At 44.7% G+C, this 12,277-nt stretch overlaps 1 long non-coding RNA gene and 1 pseudogene across 1 annotated transcript in view, besides 1 other annotated feature; one reads left to right on the plus strand and one right to left on the minus strand.

Moving 5' to 3' along the window:
- SOWAHCP5 (SOWAHC pseudogene 5) lies at positions 2,379-3,889 on the plus strand (annotated as a pseudogene).
- LOC442028 (uncharacterized) overlaps positions 9,726-12,277 on the minus strand; it is a 78,658-nt gene continuing 76,106 nt past the window's right edge. The window contains exon 10 of the long non-coding RNA NR_037597.1: positions 9,726-11,738. This is a non-coding gene — a long non-coding RNA (uncharacterized LOC442028). The remainder of the gene's footprint in view (positions 11,739-12,277) is intronic.
- Positions 11,268-11,781: an enhancer, noted in NCBI's record as "H3K4me1 hESC enhancer chr2:95535972-95536485 (GRCh37/hg19 assembly coordinates)". NCBI's record gives its function as "activates a minimal SCP1, AML or CMV promoter by ChIP-STARR-seq in naive H9 embryonic stem cells {active_cell/tissue: H9 hESC(naive)}" and the evidence as "EXISTENCE:reporter gene assay evidence [ECO:0000049][PMID:30033119]".

Genomic DNA, 12,277 nt, shown 5'->3' on the forward strand with positions numbered 1-12,277 from the left:
TTTATCTCAGTTTTATTTGCAAAAATAGTATACGCAAAATACATCGAGTGAATGCACATCAGGCATATAGAAGATCTGGCAGAAACATGTTTTCTCCTGCCCATTTCCAGTCAGTATTTGAACACAGAGGCTTCCACGGTTTTGATTCTTTCCACAAAAGGTGAGTTTTGTCTGTTTTCACCATTTATGTAAGTGAAACTATAAATTATATAATTTTTATGTTCACTCACTAAACATGCTTGTGACACATCATTTTGCTATTATTCATTAATTTTATTTTGTAATACTCAATTTTATGACTATACCACAGGTTTGAGGCCTTTGCTATTGATAGACACAAAAGCAGTTTCTGATTTGAGGCTATCATGAATAAACCTGCTACGAACAAATCAGATATACATGTTTTTCTGTAATAATATTTTCACTTTTCTTGAGTTTAAGTACATAAGAGTGGATTTTCTGGGTTATAAAATAAGTATATATTTGGCATTGTATGAAATGGGGAGACATTTTCCTAAGTGGTTGTGTCATCTTAAACTACAATGAAAATGTTTGAGAGAATCAGTTCCACTTTCTAACCAATACTTGATGATGTCAGTTGTTTTAGTGTTATCCATTCTTATGGGATATAAATGCTGAGTAGCTGTCTGCCTTCCCCCACAACACAGAAAATTGAGGGCCTAGAGGACAGTCTTATTTTCATATTTGACATCTTCTATTATTTTTTATAGAAGGGTGATATGTGGGTAGTAAAATTTTCTTTCAATTTTCTAGGCTGTCTCTGAATCTTACTGGGGTTCCTTGTCCTAAACCACATTCAGAAATTTTCACGACCGACTTCTTTTTATCTTTGTCATACCAGGCCAATGAGGGATAGCATTCCCGAGACTTAAGTACTTTGTGTGTGTGTGGTGGTCTAATAATCATAGCCTTAAAACTTTCTGGCTGGGCATGGTGGCTCATGGCTGTAATCCCAGCACTTCGAGAGGCTGAGGTGGGCGGATCACCTGAGGTCGGGAGTTCGAGACCAGCCTGACCAACGTGGAGAAACCCCCAACTCTACTAAAAATAAAAAATTAGCTGGGCGTGGTGGCACATGCCTGTAATCCCAGCTACTTGGGAGGCAGGAGCTACTTGGGCTGAGGCAGGAGAATCGCTTGAACCCACGAAGCGGAGGTTGCAGTTAGCTGAGATCACACCATTGCACTCCAGCCTGGGCAACAAGAGTGAAATTCTGTCTCAAAAAAAAAAAAAAATTTCAGACTTCTGGGAGACACTGAATTTATGAATGTGTACAGCATGTCACAATAACTTTTTTTTTTTTTTGAGACCAAGTCTCACTCTGCTGCCCAAGCTGGAGTGCAGTGGCCCATCTCAGCTCACTGCAACCTCTGCCTCCCGGATTCAAGCAATTCTCCTGTCTTGGCCTCCCCAGTAGCTGGGATTACAGGTGCTGCAACCATAGCTGGCTAATTTTTGTATTTTTAGTAGAGACGGGGTTTCACATATTGGCCAGGCTGGTCTCGAACTCCTCACCTCAGATGATCCACCTGCCTCAGCCAATGGGTGGATTGTTAACTCAAAATACGTACCATTGAATACTGAGGAAAAGGTATAGCCATCATCACCAGCAGCTGAGATGCCAGTTGAGATACCAGAAATGCCCCAGCACGTAACTCCTCTTTTAATTCACACACACACACACACACACACACACACACACACACACACTCATGGTAACCACTTCAGGATGGACACAGAAACAGCCATATTCTTTTTTGGGAGCACATTCCCCTATGACACTTAGATCCTAATGCTGACTCCAATTCCCTCCCGGGACCTCCCCTCTCCTTACAGCATGCTGGGCTTTCCCTTAGAAAACCCCATGTCATTTCCTGCAATGGAACATCCATCAGCTTCACCCACAGTGTCTGCATGTCTCTGTCCACAGCAAATGTTTTTATTACTTTAAAATATAGATTTTTACCTTAACTGGCCAAAGACTTAGGACCCTTTTTCCAAGCTCTTTTAGATGAATAAATGCAAATATTAGAGATGTGTATATGTGTATAAATATATGGGGAAAAGATGTTGCCTAGTTGTACAAATTAGCTTTAACAAAACTCCTGATTCAAATTATTTGTGAGAAGGGCGATTCTAACTCAACACACCAACAAAATAAAAGCCTTATCCCTCTGCTCCGCCAAAATATCCCATTCAGAGCCTGCGCGTGTGTGTACACACACTTGTGCACTCATCCCCACCTGACCGTATCAAATTATTATTTAAACTAGATATTTTTACTTTGTTGCATAGTAGTAATGGTTTCTGGAATGAAAAAAAAAACAGGAGAATAAAACTGTTTAAATGTATCTCCGGGTGGACGCTGTGGCCACTGCACCAACCCCGCCGGTGGCGCCGAGTACCTGCGTCTCAGGAAGAGGTTCTGGCCGGGCCTCCGCCTGAGGCCGCGCCCCTGGGACCTGTGCGAAGTCCACGTGAACGCGGAGCGCAGCATTCACCATCCCCTCCCTGAAACAGCGGTACCCGAGGCGCTCCACAGGCAGGGCCGAGCTGGGCGAGGGGGATCTCAGCCCCTGCACGGGCCGCCCTGAGCGGCGGGGACGCAGGAAGAGGTCGCTGGCTCCACCCGCCCCTACCCCAGACGCGGGACCTCGCGGCCAGCGAGGACCTGGAGCCCCCGCCCCACGGCTGCCAGGAGGCGGACAGGGGCAGTTCCTGGGGGGCTACCGCCCCGAGGCCATTCTGCCAGAACTTGAGCGACTTGGCAAGGGGCAGCGCCCCGCCCCTGAAGAGGAGCCTGTGTCCTAGAGGCAGCAGCCTGGGAGCTCCTCCGAGGAGGACACGGCACAGGCGAGTGACTCTGGCGGCGCAGCGCTGGCTTTCCCGTCTGCGGAGGAGGAGAGCTGCGGGGCTGGGTGAGCTGGACCCAGCAGCACGGCTGGCTGCTCTTGGCCTCCGATGGGGAGTGGACAGCTTAGGGGGTTGCCCTCGTGCCAGCCGGCCTGCTGGCCACGCTGGGCTTCATCACCTCCTCACTTGCCTGCACAGGCGCCTAGCACCGCAGGCCAGAGCTTCTGGCCATGCTGGTCAACTTCCCCAAGGAGCCTCCGCTGCCCGGGAACAGCAAAGCCAGGACTAGCAAGGCTACACCGCCCTGCACTTGGCAGCCATGTACCTTGGAGATGGTGAAGCTGCTAGTGGGGACCTAGGACGCCAATGTGGACATCAGGGACTACATTGGGAAAAGGGCCTCCCAGTATGTGAGTCAGAGCATCAGAGAGGAGATCGAGACCCTGGTGGGAGTCCTGGACGAGGACGACGGGGAGAACACCGCCAGCAGCGAGGGTGGGTACTGTTAAGATTTAAAAGGTGCCCCCTCCATCTCATCACCTACAAACTCTCACACGTCCTGGAAGATGGGGGGACCCTCTTCACCATCACTTCTTGGCTGAAGGTGGTCCAGACGCGAAGCCAAGGATTCCAGGGCACAGAGCCTCGGGCAGGACTAATGGACTTAAAAAACACAGGCTCAACAAAATCCACTTCACAACCCAGGTGGTTCACATCACACCCTCTTTCAGGGACCCAGAGCAGCCACTGGAAGAGGAGGAGTAGGAACGCTCTCTTAAAGGCCACTTATTCTATTCCTTCAAATTAAGACCAAAGCCCAATGTATTTAGGTAAAAATAATTTCTTTTAGAAAATGCTAAGGTTTGTCTTCTGAAATTTAATAACAAAAAAAGAACACTAGATGTCAGTAAGGAAGTGAGACCAGAAAAGACAAACTAAATTATCCTTACTAGGTTGGAATGGATGGGGTGGAGTTCCCATCAGGCTAGCATTCTGGGCAAAGCGTTTTTTTTTTGTGGGTGGGGGGGATGGAGTCTCGCTCTGTCGCCCAGGCTGGAGTGCAGTGGCGCCATCTCCACTCGCTGCAAGCTCTGCCCCTCGGGTTCATGCCATTCTCATGCCCCAGCCTCTGAGTAGCTGGTACTATAGGCGCCCGCCACCACACCGGGCTAATTTTTTTGTATTTTTAGTAGAGACAGGGTTTCACCGTGTTCACCAGGATGGTCTCGATTCCTGACCTCATGATCCGCCCATCTCGGCCTCCCAAAGTGCTGGGATTACACGCGTGAGCCACCGCGCCCGGCCGGATTTCTTTTTAAGAGATTCATAATACCTTGACCTGTGCCCCATTTCCCTCCTCCACCTGTCTGACCTGGCGTCCCTATTTCGGGAGACCAGAAGTAGGGGGAAGAGAAGGGATGACTGTTTCTTTGCTTTCACCATTCCTGGATGCCATGCAAAGGAAAGAATATTGCACTTTTATGTATCTGTTTTATTAAGTGGTTACTCTTCCAAGGACAAAAAAAAATGCAAATTGTTACGAAACTGGTAGTATTTTTAAGTGCAAGTACTACATGCTGCCTTGTTCTTTTACCAATTGCATTTGCATTTTAATGTACTACTGGTACAGCCATGGTTGAGAACAGTTTGGAGGTTCCTCTAAACACTGAAAATAGAGGTATCACATGATCCAGCAATCCCACTGTTGGGTATATACCCCAAAAATAGGAAATGAGTATATCGAAGTAATTATCTGCACTCCCATGTTGGTTGCACCACTGTTAACAATAGCTAAGATTTGGAAGCAACCTAAGTGTCCATCAATAACTTAATGTATTAAAGAAAATCTGGTAGATACACACAGTGGAGTATTATTCAGCCCTAAAAAAGAATGAGATTCAGTCATTTGCAACAACATGGAAGGAACTGGAGATAATTATGTTAAGGGAAATAAGCCAAGCACGGAAAGGCAGACATTGCATGTTCTCACTTGTTTGTGGGATCTAAAAATCAAAACAATTGAACTCATGGACATAGTAAGTACTAGGGAGCTGGGGGGGGGGAAGGCAGGGGATGGGTAATGGGTACAAAAATAGGCAGAAGGAATGAATAAGACATACTATTTAATAACACAACAGGGGGACTCTAGTCAATAATTGTTCATTTAAAAATAACTAAAAGAATGTAATTGGATTGTAACACAAAGGATACATGCTTGAAGGGATGGATACCCCACCCTCCATGATGTGATTAGTTCACACTGCATGCCTGTATCGAAACATCTCATGCACCCCATAAATATATATGCCTATTATATACTCACAAAAATGTTTGAAAATAAAAATAAAGGAACTACTGAAGGTTAGGTCAGAGTCGAAATGCAAAAATACTAATTAGAGAATAATGTGAATACAACAGGAATCCTGTTGGTGTTCTATTTGTATTGTAAACAGCAGCAGTTCAATTGTTTTGTCAAAGCAATTTCAATTTTAATCACTGAGCTAAAGAAATGGGCAACACTGACTTCCGTAATATAGGTTCCACCTAACCATCTCTAACACCGCTGTCAAGGAGGACCAGTGTTAGGGTACATTATTAACAACCACACAAATTTTTAAAAGAAAAGAACACTCTTAGCAGCCTATGGTACTTTTAAATGAACTATTGCCTCTCATTCTAATTCTCACTTGTGTTGCCATTCTAAAAGTTTGAATTTGCTGAGGGTTATATTCTGGGTATTATATAACCATTGGTTCTACTTGGCATAACCCTACTAAATGGTGCTTAGAGCTGAATTACCTACAGAAACTTTCTGGTTTAATTAGCATAAATATTAGTGAGCCCATACTTCTGTGATATAATTATTAAACCAACTTAATGATTCTCACATAAGGTGTGAATTTTACTAATGCATTCATAATCTATGCTTTGTAGCAACATTTTTCAAATGTTTAAAATGCTAAATCTTCTCAATTTTCCAATCTTTTCTTGAATCTATTAGATACCTATAGTTACTGAAAAGCTGGGTAACAAATACACCTAGTTAGAAATGGCACTGCTTTATAAAAGGCACTCAAGACGAGACTATTTCTATACTTAAATGCTGCTGGCAAGTGAATTCCTTTGTATATAAATGAAAGATACCATTCATTAAGATGAAAGACTTGTTTTAAGTGTGGTTCTTACATTTCATTCATGATAGAGTAAATGGCTTTATAATTACTTTAAAATTTAACTCACTAGTATGTTAAATCTGTTCATTGCAAGATTAGAATCAACTGTTAGGGAAACTAATTTAAACAAGCCCTTCCTTAGTCTTTTGAGTCTCATATTTGCTGAAAGTACCTACAGCTTGCAGGATAAGGGAGTTCACGGACCACAGGGTGAGTGAACCCATGCACAAATTGCAAACTGCCCAAAGCTACAACATTCAGGATTTTCAGACCTTTAGTTTTCCAAGTCATAGAAATTTGTTACGAGTTCATCACATCTTTATCTAAATGGCAACTGAATTTCTTTAAAGATAGGTTTAAAAAAGGCATAAAACTATGAACTATTATCCATTTGTGTGCCTCTATTTTTGCTTTAGAATTATGGAAGTGGACCCTGCGCATTTGGGAAACACTGTTATGCATACACATGGGTGAAAAAAAATCTAATATTGTGTAAATTAAAATACTTTTTTTGAAGTTGAAAAGCATCCATTTGTTCTAAATCTATATATATTATGTGTATCTAGTACAGAATAAGCTGTAACTTCTCATTGAGGAATCTTAGGTTTTTACAGATATGTAAAGCTAAAACAACTCTAAAGAGTAGACACTTCAGAACAAGAAGGTTCTGGTCAATGTTGAGAGCAGACACTTTCACTGAAGGTTCTGGTGAAATGTGGGTAACTAATTGCTCGAAATCTGTAATTTGCTATATAGTTAACTATTAAGTTAAAATGTCATTTACCATGCTTTTTACACTAAAAGCTTTAACTTTTCTGATAAAATAATATTTTAAATGTTCAATTATTACTTCTGAGGAAAGCTACTTCTAGCATTCTTTGTCATGATGTGCTTGTGTGCAGTAAGTGGAGCATTTTCAGCTACTTACCTCTACATTCTTCCAGTTTTTCAGTTTCTGATTTAGCTTATAAAAGGCAAATGATCAATTTAATTTGATACTCAGAATTGTGTTTACCTTTAATGGACAAATATATGTCAGATACTTTGGGGTTTATTGATATGACACTGTGTGGTTAAACAACGCAAGTATGTCCATGTGTTTCTTACAGGGTACACTTGAAACTAGTAGTGTTTATGCAGCTCACTTATGTAACTTGAAAATCTGGTACTATTGCATTCAGGACTGAAATCTTGGAGTTTAGGTGTCTTGTCTCTCATTTTGAAAGTAAGTGAAAGTTGAGAATGTAAAATCTATAAAGTTCATTTTTTTAACTAGGAAAAAAACACAAATTAATGACAGAAACCAAATTACAAATCCAAAAAGCTCAGAGAACACCAAGCAGGATGAATATTTTTGAAATATAACTAGGAATATCATATTCAAACTGTAGAAAACCTATAACAAAGATAAAATATTAAAATAAGGCAGAGGAAGAAACATATTGTCTACAGAGAAACAGACGTAAGAATTACATTGGACTTCTGTTTAGAATCCATGCAAGTAAGAAGTGTTGAAAAAAATTAGAATACAGTGGGTATTTATTATCCAAGTATTCATTATCTAAAACTGCAAAGCAAAAATAATTGTAACAAGAACATATTCACTAGCAATCTGAGCACTCATGATATTAGTGACTGTTCTGGAGAGAATTATGTCCCCCCAGAATTCCTAACCTGAAGCCCTATCTCCCAGTGTGACTGTATTTGGAGAAGGAGCTTTTAAGAAGGTAAAGGTTAAATAGGGGCAAAAGGTTAAGGCCCTAATCTGTTAGGACTGGGGTCGTCATCCAAAAAGGAAGAGACACCAGAGATATCTCTCTCTCTCTCTGCCTCCCTCCTCCTCTCTCCCTCCCTCTCTCCCTCTCCCCACATGCATTTGTTAATTTGAGGTTTTTTGTTAGAACATATATAGTGGCATTTTAATAAAGTGTTACTCTACTTAAAACACTCACACACACATATACATACAATTTTGATAAATTCTTTTTTGAGAATAAGGCCAGGCATGGTGGCTCACACCTGTAATCCCAGCACTTTGGAAGGCTGAGGCAGGTGGATCATCTGAGGTAAGGAGTTCAAGACCAGCCTGACCAACATGGTGAAACCCCATCTCTACTAAAAATACAAAAAATTAGCTGGGCGTGGTGGCGGGCATCTGTAATCCCAGCTACTCAGGATGCTGAAGCAGGAGAATCCCTTGAACCGAGGGGGCGGAGGTTGTGGTGAGCCAAGATTGTACCATTGCACTCCAGCCTGGGCAACAAGAGCAAAACTCCATCTCAAGAAAAATAAAACAAAATAAAAATTAAAAAACACAAAACTGGGATGTGTCCCTGTCTTTTAGGAAGATATAACTTTACCATTACTAAAATTGAGCCTCAGAAACATTAATCATGCTACACAAACTTAGCTGGAAATGGATACTGAAATGGAACTTTGAATCCAAGATGATTTATTTTGAATCCCATGCTAATGCCGTTAACTCCTATAGACCCTTCTCAGGTGCAGCCAGAGACACACTAGCCCACTGATGGACGGACAGACGTGGACAGGGTCCATCTCACTAAACCACCCACCACTGCCACAGCTGCCTACAACAGACACATCAGATGAGACTCCAGGCAAATACATAATTTTCACTGAGGACTTATTGGTTTTAAGAATAGGTCCTGGTGTAGAGAAGTCCCTCAACCTACTGTGCAACATGTTTTGAGAAGCGGGTAAGCTATATGTTTTGTGGTTTTGTTTCATAAATGCATCTACAAGAAGACCAGTATTGACTGAATGAAGCTTTTGTTTAAAGGGCTAAAATATGCTTTGTGGTTTTATATGCAGAAACTACTTTAAACCTAATGACTATTAATTGTATCATAGCTTGTGATGTAGTCTGCTCATGGCTTTTAAGGTAAATTGTGCCATGATCCACTGCCATTCTAATTGCTTTAATTAACAAGTCATTACCACACTACTGTTACATCTTAATTATGCATACAGACAGGTAGACTTATTTTACATATGTGAACTAATAGTTGTCAAAGCAAATGCAAATTGTATTCCGCAAGTAAACTCTCTCTGAAATTTCTAGGGATGTTCTTTAAGTGAAATTAATATTCAAACTGAAGATTTTAGTTAAAAGAACTGAGTGCAGATTAAAGTCTTGTTGTGATTTAAACATAGTCAAGAGTACAACTGTGATACTTCATGGAAGTTATGCAATAAAATGTCTCTAACCTGCAAACAAATCTATCAAGCAGACGGCACAGTACTGAATTTGAAACCAGAAATACTGGGTTTTTATATAAATGCTTCATAGATTTGTTTTATGATAAAGGGTACATAACTCTCCTAAACCTCACACCACCTCTTAAATAGGGACAGTAAGTCCACATCAACACGCCTGCCTTAGCTATTATTAAACTCTTACAGTATGATGTAAAGTGAAAGTACAATGTAACATCATTCCTAGGCCAACTTTGTCCAGTTTTATACAGAAACGTGCCAACTTTTCTGTTTGCAAGGATAATATCAAAGCAAACACCAGAAGGTTGTATCTTTGATGCATTTTTTCCAAATCATACACATAATAAACCAAAGACAAATGATGAATATTATTTCAGAAAATATAAAGTCTTCCCCTTTCTTCTTTTGCCAAGGAAGTCTAATATTTTCACCATTTTTATGCACACAATCAACTTTATTTAACCTGGAAGTTAATGTCTCATTGTTTTCATTGTTCTAAATAAACACCTTTTCCCTTGAGTATTGTTCTAAAAATTTTGAAGTCGTCTGAAAAATTTTGTTCTGATTTTTCACGGTTGTGTTGATGATATGCGAAAAGGAATACAGATGGTATTTAATTATGAACAAGAAAAGGTGTTAAATATCATTAGTCATTAGAAATTTGCAAATTAAGACCACAATGACTAACACATATATATCAGAATAGCTAAAATAAAAATAAAACATCAAACGCTGAGGAGCATGAGTAAAAACTAGAGCTTTCACACATTACTGGTGGGAATGTAAAATCGTACAGCTATGCCAAAAAGGAGTATAGTAGTTTCTTAAGAAACTAAAGGAACTCAAGTCCCCAGGCCTGCAGTCTGGGCCAAGGTCACAGGCCCTGGATCAATCAGGATGGGGTTCAAGGGCCTTCCTGGGGCCATCCAGTGTTCAAGGTGCCCTTTGGTGGCCTCATCTGCCCCTCCGCCCCTGAGCACGCCCCTCTGTCCCTCCAATCCTCCCTGTCACAGGGACGTCTGTCACAGAGCCATGCCCCACCTCCTGCTTTCTGGAGATGCCAACTGCCCTCCCCATCTCTGGGTCCTGACCAAGGTGCTCTAATGGACACCCCCTGACCCAGGTCTCAGGGAGCTGCCAGCACGATGGGTCCCTAAAGCTGAGATCCAGCAAGACACATGTGGCCTGAGGGTCCCACTCTCTGGCTGGCAGAACCCAGAGGTGGGAGCACACTGGAGTGTCCTTCAGGGCATCTTCACCCCATGAGAGGGCTGGGGGCTTTGGGAGTTTGCAGCTGGCAGGAGTGAGGGCCCAGTCTCCTATCTCTGATGCGTCCTTGGTCAAATCCTGTGCCTCAGCCTGCAGGGCCTATCGTGGTCACCACATGAATGTGTTCCCTTAGTCTGGGAGCCCCAAGCAGGCAGCACCCCCTGCCAACGACTTCAGGGCACCTGGAAGTGGAGGCTGAGAAGTCTCCCACTTCGCAGAGCTGGGCTCTGGCCCAGAGGCCTTCTCGTTGGCTCAGGTGGTCTCTCGGGCTCCTGGGGCCACAGATCAGGGGACAAACACGGGCAGCTCTGCTCTGCTCTGCCTAAAGAGAGGTGCCCAGTGAATGCAGGTTCCAGACAAAAGGTGGAGCCTGGCATCCTGCCCTGCGTGTGGGCTCCAGCCTGCTGCCATCTGGGGAAACTGAGTCATGGCGAGGCTCGAGGATGTTTCTCAGACCACACCAGTCCCTGAAGGTCCCCTGACCTCCCAATTTTGATGGACAGTAAGAAGAGGTTCCCAGGCCGCCTGCCACAGGTTCTGACTCGGCCTGGGTTAGGGTAAGTCTCCGGGCTGCTGTCCTCAAAAGCCCCATCAGGAGGCTGTGTCAGGCCAGGCGCACCGTGGTGACAGCAGCATGGACTGAGGGTTCTGGCCGCGGGAGAGGCCAGGACGGGGGGAGGTCAGGTCCAGGAGGAGGGCACTGGCCGGCACATGGTGGGGCTGGAGAGACCCTGGGCGGGGTGGTGGGAATGGCCCAGGAGGAGCTCCGGCTCCTGTGGCTGGAGTGAGGGTGTGGGCTGTGGTGGGAGAGGGGGTGAAGGTGGAGAGAACAGGGGCCCAGAGGTCTGTGCTGTAGGAAGGGTATGGACTTCCTAGTGAGGACTTTCTGGTGGGGGGCTCTCAGAGAAGAGGAGGCCGGAGGGGCTGGGGGTCCCCAGGACTGCATGCGCCAGGCAGACGGAGGGGAGGCCGAGCCAGGAGCCGCAGGCTTCTCAGTGCCAGACCAACGTCGCCCTCCGCTGGCCGTGTGGGGAATCGCGCCTAGGCTGGGGCTCCCCTGGCCCCAGGTTAGGGGGACTCCGATGTGTCCTGGGGCGCTTCCTGCCCATCCAGCCTCCGCCAGGCAGCCTGGCCCTGAATGGCTTTGAGGGCAGCCTCCGCAGCACAGGACCTGCCTCCGCCCTGTGGGGCAGATTTGGGCGTCTGACTCTGGACACTTACCCAGAGGCTGAATTCAACTCCCCAGCGAAGAGCACACTCAGACTCCCTCCCCGCTGTGCCCAGCCTGAGGGGACCCTGGCTTGGACTTGGGAGGAGAAGGCCAGAGGCCAGGGCCTGGCTCTCAGGCACTAGGTGCAGGAGAAAATGGAGCAGAGTTCCTGCAGGAACTGCCTCAGACTGCCCCCGAGGGGACCTGGCCTGGAACCCTCCCTGTGCTACCAGGCTGCTGTTGGGGCCAGGAGGGCAGGGAGAGCAGCCACCTGTACGGCATCAAGTAACACTATCAGTCAGCACACCCAACACCCACACGACAGCCACAGCCCTCTGCCCTGAGGTGGCTGCAACTGAGCAGAGTCTCCTGTCTTGTTCACCCTGAGCGCGGAGCTCCGCACAGGACAGGATCAGAGCGCAAACCAGGAACAAATGGATGAACCAAGGAAGGGGCCAGGGCAGTAGGTCCCCACCCACACCCTGAACCCTAAGGGTGGGACTCAGAGGCT

The sequence above is a fragment of the Homo sapiens genome, chromosome 2 (assembly GCF_000001405.40).
Source record: "Homo sapiens chromosome 2, GRCh38.p14 Primary Assembly".
Lineage (NCBI taxonomy): Eukaryota > Metazoa > Chordata > Mammalia > Primates > Hominidae > Homo > Homo sapiens.